The sequence below is a fragment of the Homo sapiens genome, chromosome 5, assembly GCF_000001405.40.
Source record: "Homo sapiens chromosome 5, GRCh38.p14 Primary Assembly".
Lineage (NCBI taxonomy): Eukaryota > Metazoa > Chordata > Mammalia > Primates > Hominidae > Homo > Homo sapiens.
The window spans coordinates 15,144,886-15,167,060 of record NC_000005.10 but is presented as its reverse complement, the minus strand read 5'-3'; positions in this window follow the sequence as shown (position 1 = coordinate 15,167,060).

The following is a 22,175-nucleotide window of genomic DNA, read 5'->3' as shown; positions in this document are numbered from 1 at the left end:
AAGGAGACAGACTTTATCTCCTGATGGAAGAGTGGCAAGTCTCCATAAGTGTATGTAGGATGAGATATAATTTTTCAGAAACCTTTGAACATGGAATCTGTCACAGTCCTCCATTCCGTCACAAAATACACATCCCTCCCACATAAAAAATACATTTACTCCCTCCCCCCGATGCAGGACAGGCAGGCCTCCTAATTGGGGCTTAACCTTGAAGGGTTCTTGGCTTCACCCGGAAGAAACTGAATTCAAGGGTGAGCCACTGGTGTTAGACAGCAACTTTGATTACAGCAGCAGTGTTACAGCAGCAGCAAAGCTACTGATCCTTGCAGAGCAGGACTACCCCAAAGGCAGTGTGTTCAGAGTAGCAGCTCAGTGGCAGTTCTGCAGTCATATTTATACCCACTTTTAATTATATACAAACTAAAGGGTAGTTTATGCAGAAATTTCTATGAAAAAGATAATAACTTCCAGGTCGCCAGGTCATTGCCATGGAAAGGGGCAGTAACTTCTGAGTGTTGCCATGGCAATGGTAAACTGACATGGCACATTAGTGGGCATGTCTTGTAGAAAGCTGCTTCCACACTGGCCCTGTTTTAGCCAGTCCTCAATCTGGGCTAGTGTGCAAGTCCCCACCTCCAATGTTCAGTCCCACCTCCTACCTCACCCCAAGACCTCAAATCTCATTGCACAGTATAAGGCTTAGGCTTAAGATTCAGAGTATTGTCTCCCAAATCAGATCTAGGTATGGATGAGTTCTGCAAGTGTAGCTTCTCAGGTACAGCTCTTCAATCATCATTCTTCTCATTCTGAAAATGTATGAACTAAAAAGAAAAGTTATCTCATAACGCATACCCCCAACATACAATGGCAGGACAGATACAGGATGACCACTTTAGACATTCCTGTTCAAAAATGGTAAAATCAGTTGGTACACAGCAGTCATTGATCACAGCGATTCTGAAATCCAGCTAGGTAGCAGATGCCAATTGCTTATTAGTTATAAATCGTATTCCTTGAGGTTCTCCCCCGAAAGTTCTTGAGTCCTTCCAACTTCCCATTAAAAGTAGCCCATGTTTGCAGCTATGTGGTTTTATCAGCCTGATTAATACAAGCTTCATGGTTTTTTTTAAGCCTCTTTTTATTTTGTGCTAAGTCTGTCTTTTTTAGCTCACTTTGGAAATATTTATTTTAGAAAAGTCTTTTTAAAACATTGTGACTTTTCTCTTCTACACAAAAGCCAAAAACACAACATGCTTCAAGATAAGCCTTCTTTACCTCCCTTTGAGGCTACTGCTGGACAATGCCCTTAAGATTCTTATAAGCCATAGTGTTTAAAGGACAGAATCTGTGAGAAGTTATGCCTTAAGATCCTTAGACCCTTAAGAATCTTTCTCTGGCCTTGAGAGCCAGAGAAAGGTTCTAAAAGGTAGCCCCTGAGATGTTTATGAGGTGCTTTAAAAAAAAAAAAAAAGACCTTACAATTCCACTCTGGATCTTATCTTTAGCCTACTTTGGAAATTGAGGTCCAGGAAAGCTGGGAAAGTCCTGGCTTCTTTATATTTAACAGTTCATTCTTTAGCCCATCTCTCTCCTATTTTATTATACACAAGGGAGAAAAGTTTTGATAACCTTTCCGGAAATTTATCTAAATCTTCAAGATGTCTTTCATTAGGTGTATTCCCTATTTTCAAGGCTACCACAGATGACAGTGTTGCAAAACATTCACAACTTCCTATCAGGGATTTTCTCTTCTCCAACTTCCAATAACACTTTTCTCACATTTCTCTGAGCCCTCATTGCAGCTTCCCTTTACATTCCCATTAACATTATCCTTGAGGTCCTTTAGGTTCTCACTAACATTCTTTTTAAAGTTCTTCCAGCTTTTGCCTATTACTCATCCCAAAGTCTATGTCAAATGTCTTCAGTTTTTTGTTTTTGTTTTTATTGTATGGAAGTACTTCATTCTTAGGTACAAAATCTGTTGTAGTTGTCTATTGTTGCATAATCACTCCAAAACTTAGTGGTTTAAAACAACTACCATTATTAAATTTACTTATGAATCTGCTATTTGGTTATGGCTTGATAGGGATGGCTTGTCACTGTTCCAAATAGTACCAACTAGACAGGCTCAACTGGGGGATATAGAATGAAGCTGGCTTACTCTAATGACTGGCAAGTTGATAGTGGCTGTTAATTGGCAGCTCAGCCAGGACTGTGTGCCAGAGTTTTTAAGTCTTGTCTATTGAGCTTCTTTACAACATGGTCGATGGGTTCCACAGGCTACCATACCAAGAAAATAAGGTAGCAGTGCATGACATTTTGTAATACATAGTGTTACTTCTACCATATACTATGGAAAGAGGTAGTCATACAGTTCCACCAATACTTAAGAGAAAGGAGACATAGACTCTACTTCTTGATAGGGGCTACTTTGAAAAATAAAATCTGCCACAGTCCTCAAAGGCTATATGTATATTCTTTAATATATATATATACACACACACACACATATATATGATATATATACTTATATGTTATATTTTCAAGATACATATATTTATATATTTTAATAGATATATAGTTTAAATTATGTAATATATTATCTGTGTGAGATATATAAATATATATAAAACATATGTTTGGGGGCTGGCTGCTTTAAAGATATATATATATATATATATATATATATATATATATATATATAATCTTATATACCCTATTTAATAAGGTACAGGAGGAAAGAACCAGGAGGAGTTCATATCCAAAGTGATATGGCCCAAATGTGGTTGGGGTACACATCTCTTTTCATAGTTTGCTTTTAAAAACTTGGTAAAATGGCCACGTGAAGCTACAGAGGAAGCCATGACAGTAAAACTGACTGGGTAACTAAGTGCCCAGTTAAAACTCTATGACAATGGAAGAAAGTGATAAAGTGGTTTGATTGACAATCAACAGTCATTGCTACAGTCATTAACCTCAAGTAGGTCCTTAATGCCACCCAGCAATCCTGCTATGCATCCTCAGTTCATTCTCTCTCCCACTCTTTTGAACCATTATATTATGCCTTCTTCCTCTCCTCTCAAATTGACAGCTTCTCTCCCATCCTTATTCTTAGTTCATGGGCTTGTGTCTGACTTTACAGAGAAATTTGAAGCAATCAGAAGGAAATTTGCTCAAGCTTCTACCAGTACGTCTACACATGCATTTACACATGTATCTATCCTCAGTCATGAGCTTTTCTCCTGCAAAAATGGTCTATATTCCCAGCTAATCCACCAGATCCACTGATCCACCAGATACTATGCCCTGTCACCTACTCAAGGACATCCATCAGCAGTGGTTCTTCTCTCTCCCCACATCATCAACTTTCCCCTCTACTAGATCATTACCAAGCATGCTGCTATTTCTCCCACCACATTAATTCTCTCTTGACCCCCAACTTTCCTAATCTAACTACCATCTAATCTTTGTCCTTCATTTTATAACAACAAAAAAGTTAACTATACTTACTATCACCAATTTATCTCTTCTCAATCTTATTTGAATAAAATCCAATCTAGCTTTCTTACCTATATGTCACAAAAACTTCTCATTTCAGGATCACTGAGCAACTCCATGCTACTAAATTCTATAGTTGGTTCTCAATCTTTATCTTAATTGGGAACTGATATGGTTTGGCTCTGTGTCCCCAACCCAAATCTCATGTCGAATTATAATCCCTTCATGTTGAAGGAGGGAACCAGTGGAAGGTAATTGGATCATGGTGGTGGTTTCTCGTTGTTTAGCACCATCCCCCTAGTGCTGTCTTGTGAGTGAGTTCTCATGAGATCTGGTTGTTTAAAAGTGTGTAGCACTTGCCACTTCATTCTCTCTATCTCCTGCCACCATGTGGAGAAGGTGCTTGCTCCCCTTCACCTTCCGCCATGATTGTAAGTTTCCTAAGGCTTCCCAGTCATGCTTCCTGTTAAGCCTGTGGAACTGTGAGTCAATTAAACCTCTTTTCTTCATAAATTACACAGTCTCAGGTAGTTCTTTATAGCAATGTGAAAGTGAACTAGTACAAGAACCAACATTCTTTGACCTAGCTGATAACTCTTTACTCCCCCAAACGCCATCTCCTCTAGATTTCCAGGACTCTACACTCATTTGATTTTCCTGTTCTCTTTCAGGCTACTCCTCAGTCTCCTTCTCTGACTCCTCCCCTTCCATCTAAAATACCAATATTTGATGTTGAGGAATTGAGTAGTTTATTTCCTCATTTCTGTCTACTCTCAGCTTCTTGTGATCTTTTCCAATCTTATGGAATTAAGTATCGACTATATGTAAAATCTTTCAAGTTTATATAAACCTCTCCTTTGAAACTCAGATTCATAAATCTACCTGCTTACTTCAACTCTAATTGCATAGCCATAGGCATCTCAGTCTTTACCTGTTAAAACCAAGCTTCTAATATTTCCCCTACATCTGCATGTACCCTACTCTCTACTACCTCAGAAAAATGACAAAAATTTCCATTTGTTCAGACCAAAAAGTCTTGAGTTATCATTGATTATTTTAAAGAACACTGCTGAATCTTTTTTCAAAATAAACTGAGAGTCTAACTTTTCATCACCTCAATTGCTACTACTCATGTTCAAGCCACCATATATCTAAGTTAGATTATCACAGTAGCAAACTGTTATGATCTCTTGCCTAGATTGTTGCAATATAATTAGATTTATTGTTTTCACTCATGACTCACTATAGTCTCTTTAACACTTCAGCCAGAGTGTTTGTATTGAAATAAGAGTCAGATCATGTTATACCTCTGCTCAAAATCTGACTATGGCTTTCTATGCTTGCTATGTTGGAAAAAAATTGTTTCCTTCTCCGACAGCTATACTGCACTAAAAGACCCCATTTTGTTCCATTCAGAACAAAAGCCAGAGTCGTTATTATGACTTATTGGGCTCTATGGGATCTGGCCCCACACCTGCCTAACCACACCTCCAGTCATTTGACTTCACCCATGCTTAATATCTCTATCTTCTTAAACATACATGCCTCAGTATTTTGCACTGGTTGTTTCGTCTTCCTGGAATAATCTTTCCAAATATATCTGAATAGTTGCTCCATCTCTTCCTTTAAATATTACTTAATTATTGTTTTCCTAAGTGAGATCTTCCCACAGACTTAGTGAGGACATCCTCTAGACATCATATCTAAAATTGTATGAAAACAAAATCGTGCAACTACCTGGATGTCATATCCTCTTTCCCTGCTTTGTTCTTCACCTTAACACTCAAAAAGTGCACGCTACTGATCGGTGATTCTCGTTGATATCCCTACATTTTATGTGGGAATCCTGTTAAACAACAGATTCTGATTCAGTAGGCCTGAGTGGGGCCAGAAAGTCTGCATCTCTAACAAGCTTCCAGCTGGTTATGGTATGTGGCTAGAATTTGAAACACACTGAGTAGTCAGGCTCTACGTTTCTAATCAACCCTATCCCATAAAATATACTATGAGCCACATATGAAAGTTTAAATTTTCTAGTAGCCACGTTTTAAAATTGCATAATTTTTTTGACAATTAATTAATTTTATAATTAATTTTGACAATATATTTTACTTAATTCCACATATCTCAATTATCATTTCACCATGTTATCAATAAAGAAGTATGAATGATACATTTTACTTTTTTTTGTATTAATAGGATGTCTCTAAAAGTCAGCATGTATTCTACACTTACAGCACATCTCAGTTTGAACTGGTCACATTTCAAGTGCTCAAGAGCCACATATACCTAGAGGCTACCATGCTAGATGACATAGTTCTAGACTTTAATTATTTATTCTGTGGTTATCTTTCTTTCTTTCTAGAATGAAAGCTACATAAGGACATAAATTTTGGTTTTGTTCACTAATGTGTTGCCCCTGTGCACGAAAGAGGGTCTCGCTTTTGTGGCTCTCAAAAATATTTGTTGGACAAATGGATTGATGAAAATCGTTAGTGTCCTAAGAGAATATACTGGCTTAGCTCTGTTTTATGCCATTTCCCCCCAGACAGAGTAAATGCCAGCCTCCCAGTAGCATACCTTTATTGGCTGCCTTCCCTTCCTGATCCACGTCTTTCCTCACTTCCCAAGGAAACCAGTTGTTCTAGAATCCTTATCTGAGTATCTGCTTCGAGGGAAACGCAAACTAAAACCCTCGCCTCAACCTATCCTTTCAGTCCTCCTGAATTTAGCTGGATGTAGGTCCCTTTATTTTAAAAAATATATATATTATATATATATATATGAAATACTTGTGCATGTTTGTTACATAAATATAGTGCATGCTCATGGCATTGGGCTTCTAGTGTACCCATTACCCAAGTAGTGAACAGGTCCCTTTCTTAGACTCCCTCCCTCTGCTGGAGGGTGGCCAGAATTCATTTGGAAAAGATACATGAGATCAAGTTTGGTGCTCAGCAGCATCCCTCATCCCATTGCCACTTCCCCATTCCCTTTTTCCTCCCACCACCAGATTCAAAGAAACCAATTTGTTAGATGGAATTACCAAAATATTACCCAAGGCCCATTAACATGCCTGGAAAAGTTAAATGTGAGCTACATCCCAGAAATTCCTGAGGAATGACAAGGATTTCTTTATATTTTGCTTTGGTGTTGACAACTGAAAGAAAATGCACACAAAACAGTCCTTACAATAATTCAACCCAAAGCTAGCAAGGGCTAGACAGTGCCATTTCATCTTAAAGGACAGAAACAAAAAGTCTTTTATGTAGGATTACTTCTCCAAAATCAACATTTTTGAAATGGTGCCCATTCTCATCGCCTCCTTCTCTGAAGCATAAACATTTTAACCACCTCTTTGAATCTCAACAGTAAGGCCACAGGGTCTGGGTACAAATGCTGTGTTCCAGTATTAAATGTTAGATCAGATATCGGCTGTAATCCCTGGGGTCTTTTAGTGCAGTATAGCTGTCTGAGAAGGAAACAATTTTTTTCCAACATAGCAAATTCTGTAACTCTGAAATTCTGAGTTCTGGATCGAATTTGTTTTGATATTGCATACCTCAGCTTCTCCAGAGAAAGTTCCCTCTCAGTCATGAAATGATGGCTTCAATTAGACTTGGCTACTCCAGTCAAAGCCTGCGATTGTGTTTCAATGGGCTGTCGATGTTTTATTCTGCCACCTTTGACAGAAATTGTTTTCTGTCTGTGGCTCAGCTCCAGCTTTGCTCCATGGAAGCCATCCATAAGGGAAAAATGTGCCCCCTTCACAATAGAACCATTGATGCCTTCTGAAAGGAATGGTGCCTGCATCCTACTTCTACCTGCAGAGTCTCCTCTCTTTAAACACAAAAGTAAATCCATGTGGCAATGCAGAGTGCTAGGATAAACCCGGTGACACAGAAATTCAAGGAAAAGGCAGACACAGGCTGACTTCTTGTAATGGTGCTTGAAATATTAGAAAAGTCCTGAAATAGGGGACAAGCTGAACCTAAAAAATGTAAGCAATGGGATCCTTTCCCTGCTATTCTTCCAGAAACAGAAAAGCCACTAACTTTGGGAACTATTTTAGATAAAAATATGTTTCAATTACAGGAAAGATTTTCCTACTCATTTCAAAAATCATCTGTCTAATTTCCTTCAAGTCTTTGCTCCAACATTATACTCTCAGTGAGGTCTACACTTACAATTGAGACCATTCGATTTAAAATTATAAAACCAATTCCTCCGCCTTGCCGTGTTCTCTCTTTTGCTATATTATTTCTCACCTTCAAATACTCTATATGATTTACTTATTTAATAGTATTTGTCCAAAGTTGACACTGACATTATTGAATGAATGTATAAATGAATTAGGGAATCAAGAAGTTAACAATGTAGCAGCCACTAATGGAGATCCCATAGATAGAAGGAAAACGTCATATTACATAATTCTGAATCAAGGATGTAAGTTCAAATACCTTCAGGGGCTAGGGAAGTACAATAAGTAAGTGAGGTAGGCCAGGTATAAAACAATGGAAGGTAGTGGGATTTGGGGGAATTGGAGAATACCTACCCCTACTAAAGGCATAAAATTCCATTTTTAAAACTCTTGCCAACAAAGCACACCTGCAAAGTGTATGGGCTGCCGCACTGTGATCTCTATTATTCTGTGTATTTTCCAGCATACACATATGTTTCTCTCTCTGATTTTGATTATTTCCAAACTTCCTAGCCCAGAAATTCAAAATGCCATATAATCAGACTTGACTCTATAATAAAATTGATACTCAATTTTAAAGTTATCTCATTTCTTGTTCTTTTTTTTTTTTAAGGGATCAATTCAACAAGAAGAGCTAACTGTCCTAAATATATATGCACCCAATACAGGAGCACCCAGATTCTGGTTCTAATTAAGAAGAGTTATGATTAAATATTATTCAAGAGATTTAAAATCTATTTCATGTGTAAGAAGCGTCACCTTACAATATCTGCGATACTGACAGTAGAGCTATATATTAAGACCCAGACTAGTCTGACTTACTTTTCCATTTGTTTCTAATTTTCTTTGTGATCTGGGACCCTTAGTTTAACCTGACTAAATCCCAGTTTACTCATTTGTATAGGAAATACTGCAACCTTCTAATTTTGTGATCCTATCTGAATTTCACTTATCTTCCTTGCCCTTAAAATATACAACCTAACATTGTTTAGTTTACGTTGCTGAAGAATGCCATATGAAGCACTTTGCATTAAGTCATTTTATCATTCAGCTATTTATGTGTAAGAAAAACACCCATGATTCTACAAGTTGGCAGGGGTGGGGTGGTCTCTGCTCCACATATCACATACTGGCTACCCAGGGTGATGGCAACGGTGACCACATCAAATAGCAATCCAACCAACCCAGCACTTTGCAAGCCTCTACCCACCTCACATCTAGTAACATCGCTCTGCCAGGGAATGCATGAAAATGCACCACTCAGATATCCTGCAGCAAGATTAATCAACTGAAGACACCAATTGTTGCTGTTTTGAATTTACCTTGTATTCATGCCAATGCTGCACTTCCCTTAGGCTGTTCCCAGCCAATGACTGAAACTGGGGATGGAGGCTACTAATGCAGGTCTATTCCTGCAAGACGCAGGACTCAACTGGGCGACTTTGGCTTGAGGATTCCCCATGAATCTGACCCAAACTTTCCTCCAACTGCACTGCAGATTATCTTATCCCCAATCTTCCTCCTTCCCCACTTCTGCACCTATTAATTCTTCGCCTGGGTCTGAAAACTCTTTCCACCTTCTCGTCCCCATCCCTTTAACCTTCATGAGCAAGTCACCTGGCCAATCCCAAACCCAAGAGGTGGGAAATTATCCTCCCCCACCCTGAAGCCATGGCAGATATGCTGATGTGTAGTTGTAATGTTTCTACAGGATAGTGCAATGGAAACCAATTATTCAATTTACCACAGTAACAAAACATAAAATAATTTAGGAAGGTGCTATGTGGAAAAAAAGTTATGAAGTGCAGTAGGTAGAATCTTAAAATAACCCCAAGATTCCCACCGCCTCATGTACACATCTGTATAATTACCTCCCCTTGAGTTTTGCCAGGACTTTTGAATATGATGGGATTTTATTTCCATGATTAGGTTGCTAATCAGTTGATTCTGAGTTAATCAAAAGGGAGATTATCCTGAACAGGGCTGACTTAATGAGGTGAGTCTTGAAAATAAAAATTCAAGGAGCTTATCCTGCTGGCTTTGAAGGAGTACGCTGCCACCTGGGAAGGGGCCACGTGGCAATGACTTAAGGACAGCCCCTAACAACTGACAGTGGTCACACTCAACATGCAGCTAGAAACCAGGGACTTCAGTCCTACAACCTAAAAGAACTGAATTCTGCCAACAACACACAAACTCAACAGAGGAGCCTGCACTTCACATGACACTGCAGTGCCAGCCAGCACCTTAATTTCAGCCAGTTCAGATGCTAAGCAGAGGACGCAACTAACCTGTACCCAGACTCCAGACCCATGAAAACCAAGATAATAAATGGGTGTTGCTTTAAGCTGCTAAGCTTGAACTAATATGTCATGCAGAAATGGGAAATTAATACAAAACAGGATGAACTCAATGGAAATGGCATGGCAAGACTTTGGATTTACCAAAATTAAAGAAGCTCTTTAAATTAGTAAATGCTTAGTATCTGAAATACATTGACACAAAAAAATACAGTGCTTTTTATTTTACACCCTGGATTTTCTGCCTGCTCTAAGCCGTCTTATGCGCTGTGACTGTTTTTCCCTGGCTGGTTCTCTTTCCCAACTTTAGTAGTGTCCCCCATACATGGCCTTCTCAAATTTACAGTCTCTCCATTGTCTCCTTCATTCTCAGATGACATCACCACCTAATTACAGCCATGAAGAACAATAAATTGCTTTTGTGTTTATGCACTTTGATTTAGGTTTTCTGTTTCTTGGAATAAAAGATTACTAGTGAACAAATCTCTTTCCAGCTATCATCTTTCATCTATTTCCCTTATCAGCCAAATGTCTTTAAAACTTTGGTCTATTTTCCTACCCATCATACATTCTTAACTCATGGGAACCTGGTGCCCTACCCACCATGCTGAAGGAACTGCTGATGCCATATTCTCTGATGACCTCTGTTGTTAGTGTAATACTTACTTCTCAAAGCTTATTTTACCTGGTGTTTCAGCAGCATTTAGCATTATCGACCACTCTCCCCTCTGGAAATATGCTCCCTGGGCTTTTATTTTTCCTTGCTTTCCTCCTAGATATCTGATAATTTCCTCCTAGTAAACTTTTTGGTCTCCCTCTCTCTCTCTCCTTCTCTCTCCCCTTTCCTGAAACAATAATATTATGGGTCGATATGGGGTGGGGTGGTGTCAGTAAGGAGCTGGCCATAAACCAGGAAGGCATTTTTGACTCCACCTCTTCCTTGTTTTTTTAAAACTAATCATCTATCAAGTTGATGAAATCCGCTTCCAAAATATCTCCTGCACTTCTCCACTTCTCTTTATCCCAAATGCCAGCACTGCCATCCTGACCATCACGATCCAGGTGCATCTTCCCACATAGGTCCCTGTTGTGGTCTCACTGCCTCTGTTCTCACCTCATACTAATCCATGAACTTCTCCACAGATAGACTATTCTTTCTGAAATGAAAAGCTGGTTCCACCACTCCACTGCTTGAAACACTTCAGTGCTTCCCGAAGGCTCTCAAAAGAACCTTAATGCCACCGCCAGGGTCGCAGTGAGCCGACTTCCACCCTCACCCCTCACCTTTCAAGTTTCACTCCTCCCCTCGCCCTTTCCACATCTGAAGCACCAGCCATCCTCAGGCTTGCAAAATGTGTCGTTCCCTCTCCTCCTTTTATTTCCTCTGGGAGAAACCACTTTCAACCTTCGCTGTCCACCACCTCCTTCCTCCAGGAATTCTTCCTGATCTCTATGTGCTGAGCGGATGCCCCACCTGTGTGCCCCTTAACACCTGAACAGCACTGTCCTAGCACTGTTCTGGCTGATTAATTGCTTGCCTGTTTGTCCTCCATGAAACCAGGCACCATGAGTGTGCTCCCCGCCATCGCATCCTCAGCACCCAGCACAGAGCCTGGCACCTAATAGGTGCTCAAGAAATCGTTGCTCATGAAACACTGAATGAATATGTGCTCTGTGAACTGGGCACACCCTTTGTTACTGGTTTTGCTCCTTCTGAAGTCCAAGATCTGCATCTCAGAAAGCATGCACTCCTTGTTGTGTGGTGAGGGATCATCTGTAGGCACTGGTAAGTACCACCAAGATCCTAAGGATGCCAAGACAGAGCCCCCTCAGCAGAGGCTAGGCAGGCTCTAGATACCAGCTCCCCTTTCCCTGGTCCCCCTGCCTCAGGCCAGAGGCATCTGTCTCTCCACCCAGCCTCTGTTGTACACAAACTAACTTTAAGTCTGGCTCCATTAAAACTGCCTTTAGTTCAAGGGCTCTTAACTTGAGGTCTGTAGGCAATATGGTTAGACTTTGTGTCCTCAGCCAACTCTCATCTTGAATTGTAATCCCCATAATCCCCATGTGTCAAGGGAGAGACCAGGTGGAGGTAATTGAATCATGGGGGTGGTTTCCTCCATGCTGTTCTCGTGATAGTGAGTTCTCAGGAAATCTGACCATCTTATAATGGGCTCTTCCCCTTTTGCTCGGCACTTCTCCTTCCTGCCACCTTGTGAAGAAGGTGCCTTGCTTTCCCTCCACCTTCCCCCATGATTGTAAGTTTCCTGAGGCCTCCTCAGCCATGCTGAACTGTGAGTCAACTAAACTTCTTTCCTTTATAAATTACCCAGTCTCTGGCAGTTCTTTATAGCAGAATGAAAACATACTAATACAGTAAATCCATAGAATTAAGAGATTCTGGCTGGGCGCGGTGGCTCATGCCTGTAATCCCAGCACTTTGGGAGGCCAAGGCGGGTGGATCCCCTGAGGTCAGGAGTTCAAGACCAGCCTGGCCAACATGGTGAAACCCCGTCTCTACTAAAAATACAAAAAGTAGCCACGCATGGTGGCGCATGTCTGTAATCCCAGCTACTCAGGAGGCTGAGGCAGGAGAATCGTTTGAACCCGGGAGGCGCAGGTTGCAGTGAACAGAGATCGCACCATTGCACTCCAGCCTGGGGGACAAGAGCAAGACTTTGTCTCAAAAAAAAAAAAAAAAAAAAAAAGAATTAAGAGATTCTGTGAACTTAAATGAGGAAAAAATGTAGATCTTTATTTTCATTAAATTCTAACTGAAAATTAACATTTCCTACAATATGAACGCAGGCAACCAACCACAGTAATTAGAATTTGTGGCCTTGTTACCAAAAACTTCACATATATTTTCATATCACATTGCAGATGCAGACATCTCATAATATCATTTGCACTCATCACCACTTAATAATAACAAAGTCATTAGACCCACCACAAGATCTTGTCATCTGAGGCACTGAGGAACAAGCATACATATTATCCTATGAGACATTTGTCATTCCTTATGAGTTTGATGACTGTATTTCAAGAAAATCGCAATTTTGTAAACAATGTATTTCTTGCTTTTATAAACATTATTCTAAGTAGTCCATGAGCTTTACCAGACCACCAAAGGAGTCCATGGCATAAAAATGGTTAAATACCCCTGCTTAATTGTTGTACATGGGGAGAGATAGGGGTCTAGCTCCATTCTTCTGCATATGATTATCCAGTTTTCCCAGCACCATTTAGTGAAGCGACTGTTCTTTCCCTAGTGTATGTTCTTGGCACCTTTGTCAAAAATGAGTTGTCTGTAAACTGTGTGGATTTATCTCTGGGTTCTCAGTACTGTTCTATTGGTCGGTGTGTATGTGTTTATGCTTATGCCCTGCAGCTTTGGATTTGTAGTATATGTTGAAGTTAGGTAGTGTGATGCCTCTGGCTTTGTTCTTGTGCTCAAGAAGAATTTGGCTCTTCAGGATCTTTCGTGGTTCCCTATGAATTTTAGGACCATTTTTTTCCATCTCTGTAGAGATCTCATGAAGATAGAGAGTTAATTGGTGGCTACCACAGGCTAGAAGGGATAGGAGGGAGGAAGAGAGGTTGGTTAAAAGGTACAAAAACACAGTTAGACATTGGGTACACATGAACATAAAGATGGCAAATATAGGCACTGGAGACTACCAGAAGTGGGAGGAGAGGAGGGAGTCAAAGGTTGGAAAACTATTGGGTATTATGCTCACTACCTGAGTGGTGGGATCATTCGTACCCCAAATCTCAGCATCACACAATATACCCAGATAGCAAACCTTCACATGTACTCCCTAAAGATAAAGTAAGAGTTGAAATTATTTTGTAAAACAAAGAAAATATACAATTTTACAGAAGGAATAAGATATAGGATTCTATAGTATGGCGGAGCAATGATAGTCAATAATAATTTGTCATATATTTCAAAATTGCTAGAGGAGAAGAATTTGAATGTTCCCAACATGTTTGGGGTGATTGACATCCCAGTTTCCCCAGTTTGATCATCATACATTGTATGCTTGTATCAAGGTATCACATGTACTCCCCAAAATATGTACAACTATTATATATCAATTTTAAAACTGCTTTATTTTCTAAAACATAAAATAAAAATAGACAAAACACTCAATACACCTCTCAAATAACTCTTGCAAATGCAAGCTTTGCCTTTTTCTTTCATAACTATGGCCCCTACAATAGACTTTTAAGTGCCTATTTTGGAATTTTAAAACTATTAACTCTCCCTGTCTTTGCATTTTTTTCTATAGCAATCCTAACTCTTCCCTGTCGAATGGAGGTCTCTGGTTGAATTGGAAGAAGGTCAGGTATAATGAAATATGAAAAAGAAAAGCGTCATTTGGCATTGCAAAATATTATTTGCCTAAAGGTGCTCAATAAAGAAGGACAAGAAAGACCTCTGGCATTCAAGATATATTTTTAAAAACTCTGGTTTTTCCTGTGACCTCTTCCTGCCCCTTCCCAGTCTGAGATAAAAAAAAAACCACAGTGACATTTAGTAGGAACAGGGAAGATTCCAGTGATTTTGGTGATGATACATTCATCAGTGATCAGGAGAGGACATCCACAGGTGTACCCCCATCCACCTTCACAGAGGAACTCATCTACAAATGCTCCAACTTCTGTAGTCAGCACTGCCCTGCAAACTCTACTTCCAATGAGCGATGTCCCCTTCCTGCCTCACTGTTCAGCCTGGCACTTCTCAAAGCTCAGTCATCCCACTGATGGCCATGACCACATAGAGCAATGAGTGACTCTCTGGCATCAGATTCAGTATGCCCCCCATGCCCCTGCCCTACTAAAGAGGAAGAATCAGTAGTTAATTCTGGCTTTAGTGGGAAACACCTGAGGAACCAAAGTGCTATGTACTTCAAATCCATTTTACTTCTTAGTTTTCTTTCTTTGTAGTATTTCCCATTCAGACATCTGCCATCATTCTAGAAACTCATGAATTTATGATACCATTAGTGTTTTGAAAAGCAAGTACATCTCTTCCCAGATGTTATTTTGTATAAAGATTTTTTTCTTCCTCTGTACTAGTTCAAATAAACCAAGTCATGAATCTAATTTGAATGAAGGCACAGACTTCACTGTCTGTCTCATACCAGATGTTGTGGATAAATATTACGACAGTCTGGACACACGACGTGTCTTGATGCTGGTAGGGACGAGGAGGCAGTCTTCCACCCACGCAGGCAGCACAAAGTGTAGGGGTGTCACATTGCCTCACACTTTTCCCCAGACACATTTGAAAGAAACACCACAGCTTAATTTGTAATCTATCACAGGACTCTAGAATCAAAGGGTCTATGTGCCCTATGATTGTACATAACTGTCTCATTCAAAACCCTACAAAGTGTGTAGAGCACACCCCGAGAATTAATATTTTACCTAGGAAGCCCTACAATGTTATCCTGGTCTCTAAGATCATAGGTAGGGTAACTTGATCATCTGGATTCATCTTAGAAGTAGGAAAACCTTAACATAAGGACATAAATTGACAGAAATAGAATGGAGGGGTCACAGGGGAGATATTTTCCCTAAGAAGTTTCCTGCCACTCCTATATTACAAAATGTAGTCTGAAAGCTACTTGTAATGTTTGAAGTGAGCTAATCCATCCTGTGACATAAATATGGTGAGCCAGTATGTGTCAATTGCTCAGCACCCATGAATTCGTTCTGTCCTGTTCAGACTGGGCCTCAGCATCCTTCTCAACACCATGCTCCTAGAAGCTACTACTTTTATTCAGAGTTGGAAAGGGGGTAAAACTTACCTTGCTTTCTCTGCATTAGGATTTTGCAAGTCAGAGGAAACCGAAAGTAGGAAACAGTCAAAAAAAGAAGCATTTTCCCCATCTCTAGCTATCAAAGTCCTGATAGTCCACAGAGCACTTCGATATTTAACCTTTCTTTGAAATTATTCTTAATGTCCCCAACTTAAGAGCTCAGTCCCAGAATCTTTAATATTCAATAGTATTGAGCTCATACCACTCAATAGTCTGTATACAGCATACTGATTTGTAGAAAACTGTGTGTGCATTTCTATTATCTCTTTTACTTGTTTTATTCTCTAAGCCCATTTTTGTTAAAGCATTTGTTATGTGCCAGGCTCTAGGGATACAAAAATTCAATGACAGAATCCCCACCCTCAAGTTGCTCACAGACATAACCAACTAGTAAAAATAAATTGGCTTAAGTGCAATAATGTGTGGCTTAAATAACCCATACCTTTATACTACATTAAAGTGGTTAGCTGTAAATTGTAGCTGTGTTATAGTAACTACCTATAATAAAATCATAGAAAGAGATAAAAATTTAAAATCAGAAAGAGAGAAAATGGAGCAATCAAGACACGGAGGATGAGGAGGAAGAATTAAATGAAAAACGTATAACTCCACGGTAAAAGCACCCAGGTTAGGAGGAGCATAAAAACAGACTTGAACAGCAAGTTAATGTTTGGAGAGTATATTCTGTGCACAATGGGGTGCCACAGAAGTTTTGGAGTGCAGAATTAGTAGGATCATTTTATTTCCAAGACAATTTTGGGAGCATATGGTAGCAAATTCTGACCTACTAATTTCCCATCTATCTGCCACAGTGATTTGTGCTTAGTAGATATTCAATAAACACATAATGAAGTCACCTTAGTGTTAGATGAATGCAAAGGTTAGTGAGCAGCAATAGAAAGTAAGAATGTGAGTTCCAGGAACAAAAAAGCCCACTTCATAGTTTTATTTCAGGTCAATCCTTTTGGGAATACTGTAAGACAAAAAGGTTGACATGTAAATCAGTTATTACAAACTTCTCAAATGCTGAGATTTGGAAAGTCCTCAGACAATTCTACTGTCTGCCAATTTGTCTTTCAGACTACCTGTCCTCAAGAATAGCAACATCTACCAGTTATGACATTTTTGAGTAAAGATGAAAGTTACATAAAGCCCATGAATACAAATTCATTCTTGATAAAAGTAGACTTGCATCAAACCTCACGGAAAAGCAAGTGTCATAAAGTCATAAATATGCATCAAACCTCACGGAAATGCAAAGTGTCATAAAGTCATAAATGTGCCAATATTAGAGTTTCACATAGAGAATAATGCAAGCAGTAAAATTCATCAGCATCATTAAAATTCATCTGCTTATGTGCCACTCTTAAGGATGACCTCATTTGTGACCTCAAGATAGAGAACCCTGGCCATCAAACTCTGAAAACACCCTTGTTGAAGTAGTTAGGTTTGAGAAATGTAAGATCTCGTGCAAGATTACAGTTGGAGAGCAAAGACATGAATGCACTCAAGTTATTTATCAATATACTTTACAACCAAATACAGACACCAAAATAAGTGATTATTCTATTGGTGTTTTATCATCCTTAACCCAATCGTAAGTATCATTTCCTGTTTAATCATATCTGGTTTTTTATCAGTTTGGGGGATTCCCCTCTCTGATACTTCCAGATTTCTGCTAGCAAATTTGCCTGGCTTCATTGCAAAAAACATGGATATTAAAGCATTATTTTCTCTTCAGTTTGCTCATGCAATGATAAAGCTTTTCTAGTTCCATAACTCTGTACTATCAGCATGGTTTTCTGTGTTCCATTATAGTCCCAGAGAAAACTTAGATATTTGAGATGGAAAAATAATTGAATGATGTCAGTCAGCCTAAAAAGCATTGTTGAGTAGGTTTTTCTTAAGTTCCCCCATACCATACACACAGTTTGAGTTCCTCTTAGGATGGCTACATTCCACAGCCTAGAGCATATGATGTAGGTGCTCTTATGCTAGCTTCAGCTTCCCACTCCCAGGATCACAGCCCTAAGCTTTCACCTTCAGATGGCTTTGTTCCAGAAGACAAATCTCTTCAGCTGCCTCCTACCAGGAATACAACACAAGGGCCACAGCTCACTTCCCTTCACCTCTCCTTCTCATATGATATGTTGTCATGTGGTATGGTGAAATCTCAACTCTCCTTCTAACTTGGACTTTATTCATCTCTCCAATACCTAACCTCACTTTATCCTTTTACTGCCTGCTTTTTGCCTCTATGTTGACCTTGTGGACTGTAGCAATATCGCCTCTTGCCCTCAAGTTTCTGGATGGTTTGGCCAAGGCAAGGTGTTAGCAGGAAATCAAGATTAGGAAGCCAGAGATATCGGTGCATTTATCTCTCCAACTCCCTCCCAAGTGCTGGCTTCTAAGAGTGTGCTCTTCTACCTAAAACCACTGCTCTCCTTCCAGGTGGAGCTCTCCTATGGATAAAGTTCTGACCAATCTAATAACCTGCTCTTTTCCTTGCCTCTTCCTACCTGGGGAGGTGCAACTTCCCCTTCCTGCTAAACCTGGGGTGCTCTATTATCCCTTATTCATTTACCTTCGCCTTTTCTGCTTCTTGCAAATACCCTTCTCATTGACCCCTCCTGAATCGCCTCTTTTGAGTGCATTGCCTGTTTCCTGCTGGGACACTGAGAGAAGAACCAATATATGGGGGAAGTGTTCCCACACTCAAGCACATTTGTGCATTTTTCTCAAGTAGGAGCTCTACTCAACAGAGAAGCACACAATGGCCTCGTGAACAGAAGTTTAGCCTGGAGCATAAGACATGGTGTGCTTCCTCCTGACTAGGACCTTACTGGTTTAATTATACAATCTCAGAAATCATTTGTTTCAATTATAGCAAATGAAGGCATGTTCTATTTCAGCATTTGAATTTTAAACAAACCAAGAGTACACTATAATCTCTCTGTTTCTGATCCAACTTTAATTGGATTCCAGAATGGATATGCAAGCACAACCATGATTCAAGAATATGTGAACAGTTCTTTGCTACAGATAGTTGCTATAAATGTATATATAATTAAACCACCTGTACTTAATCTTATATCTTTTTAAATATTTTCCTTCTAGTTTATAATCAGACATTTGAAGGCATTATGACAAAAAACGTTTTACTCTACTGCCTTTTTCTTACGGCAAGTTTGATTCAATTATTCAGTTACAATTTGAAACTCCTTGTGCACAAGATATGCTTCAAGTCTATTATTTTCAAACTTTTTGATAGGGGCTAACATCACAACCTAGACACACAAAATATATACACGCAAACATATACATAATTACCTGAAACCAGAGTTTCATTACACAGTAACTTTACACCACACATCTTCATATTTTGTATTCTAGTCTGTTTAGGAAACTATGCTGGATACCACCCATTATAACGACTGGATGGCCCTCTAATGGTTTTGACATTTGTTTGAAACACATAGCCATAAGTCAAATGATAGATGAACAAAAAGATGAAAAAGACATCCAGTAAAGGCAAAAAAAGAGATCACAAGACTCTGGAGTTAGCCAAGTTAGAATTAGATCAAGTTAAAGTTTAATTAACCTTTTTAAAATGTATTTGAGGCAAATTCTATCAATGTTTTCTATAGTAACATCTAATTATAAATAATTTTGTGGGGACTAGAATAGTATCCTTTAAAAAAATTTTAATTGACATCTAATAATTGTACATATGTATGGGGTACATAATGATGTTTTGACACATACAATGCCTAATGATCAGATCAGGGTAATTAATTGGCATACCCATCATCTCAAACATTTATAATTTCTTTTTTGGGAACATTCAATATCCTTCTGCTAGCCATTTGAAACTGTATAATATATTATAATGATAGTCATCCTACAGTGCTATAGAAGACTAGAATTTATTCCTCATATCTAGCTGTAATTTTGTATCCTTTAACAAATCTCTCCCTATCCTCTTCACTTCTTTCTACCTTTCTCAGCCTCTAGTATCCTCTACACTGCTTTTTACTTTGATGAGATCAACTTTTTTTAGCTTCCACATACAATTGAGAACATGCTGTGTCTAATTTTTTGTTCTTGACTTATTTCACTTAACATAATGTCCTCCAGTTCTATTCATGTTGCCATGAATAACAAGATTTCATCTTTTTATGGCTGAATAGTATTTCACTGGGTACAAATGCCACATTTTCTTTCTCCATTCATCTGTTGTTTGACACTAAGTTAATTTCACATCTTGACTATTGTGAATGGTGCTGCAATAAACATGGGAGTGCAGATGTCTCTTCAATATATTATTTCCCTTCCTTTGGATAAATGCCCAGTAGTGGGACTGCTGGATCATATAATAGTTATAATAGTTTTACTTGCAGTTTTTTGAGGAACTTCCACACTGTTCTCCATAGTGGCTGTACTAGTTTACGTTCCCACAAACAGCACGTAAGAGTTTCCTTTTCTCCTCATCTTCACCAATATTTGTTATTTTTTGTTATCTTTTGATAATAGCCATCCTAACTGGGGTGAAACGATATCTCATTATGGTTTTATTTGCATTTCCTTGATGATTAGTGATGTTGGGCATTTTTTCATATGTTTGTTGGACATTGTATGACTTCTTTTGAGAAATGTCTGTTCGGATAATTTGTCCATTTTATAACTGGATTGTTTGGTTTTTACTGTTGAGATGTTTGAGTTCCTTGTATATTCTGGATATTAATTCCCTGTCAGATGAATAGTTGGCAACTATTTTCTCCCATTCTATAGGTTATAGTTTTACTCTGTCAACTGTTTTTTTGTTGCACAGAAGCTTTTCACTTTGATATGATCCCATTTGTTCATTTTTCCTTTAGTTGCCTGGGCTTTTGAGGTGTTACTCAGAAAATCTTTTCCTAGACCAATGTCCTGAAGCATTTCCCCTATGTTTTCTTCCAGTAGTTTTACAGTTTGGGGATCTTACATTTATGTCGTTAATCCATTTTGAGTTGATTTTTGTGTAGGAGGAGAGGTGGGGGTCTAGCTTCATTCTTCTACATTTGAACACCCAGTTTTCCTAGCATCATTTATTGAAAATGTGGTCCTTTCCCCAGTGAATGTTCTTGGAAACTTTGTCCAAATTAGTTGGCTGTAGATAAGCGGACTAATTTGAGTGTTCTTTTTTCTGTCCCATTTGTCTATGTGTTTGTTTTGTTGCCAGTACCACGTTATTTCAGTTACTACAGCTTTGTAGGATATTTTCAAGTCAGGTAGTATGATGTCTCCAGCTTTGCTCTTTTTGTTCAAGATTGCTTTGGCTGTTTGTGGTCTTTTGTAGCTTCATACAAAATTTTAATATTTGTTTCATATTTCTGTGAAGAATGGCATTGGTATTTTGGTAGGAATTGCACTGAATCTATAGATTGCTTTGGATTGTATGGTGATTTGAACCACATTAATTCTACCAACCCATGAGCATACTTGAGCATAGGATGCCTTTCTGTTTGCATCCTCTTCAACTTCTTTCATCACTGTTTTGTAGTTTTCCTTGTATAGGTCTTTCATCTCTGTTTTGTAGTTTTCCTTGTATAGGTCTTTCATCTACTTGGTTAAATTTATTCCTAGATGTTTGTGTAGCTATAGAATAATACTCTCTTTTTTTAATTAAATTTTTTTTGAGACGGGATCTCACTATGTTGCCCAGGCTGGTCTCAAACTCCTGAGCTCAAGCCTGCCTCGATCTCCCAAAGTTCCAGGATGACAGGCATGAGCCACCACACCTGGCTGATACTCTCTTCATTCCCCAAAAAAACATTGTTATTATTACCTTTATTTCAACCTGTGTAACAAAACATTTCAAGATGGATGTTATAATCTTGCCCACAGACTATTTTTCCTCTTTGTAAAAGAAGTATCAGCACATTCAGCCAAACTTCTAAGTATCTAAATGAAGTGAAAGCTTTTCCATTTACAGAATGGCTTCTTCTGGTCAATTAGTCTATTATTTGTGGCAAGCCATGATTCCCTACCTGTGATGTGGAGGCACAATGCTCACTCTCAAAGAGCCCCACATTACTCACTTTTCCCTAATATACAAATTCCATATCCAAAATGCTCCAAAATCTGAAACTTTTCTGAAACTTTTCAAGCACAGACATAAGACAGTGACATCTTTGCTTTCTAATTGTTCATTGCACGCAAATTTTGTTTCATGTATAAAATTATCAAAAATTATCGTCAGGCTATGTGTGTAAGGTATATATGAAATGTAAGTAAATTTAATGTTTAGTCTTGGGCCCTATCTTCAAGATGTCTCATTATGTATATGCAAATATCCAAAATCTT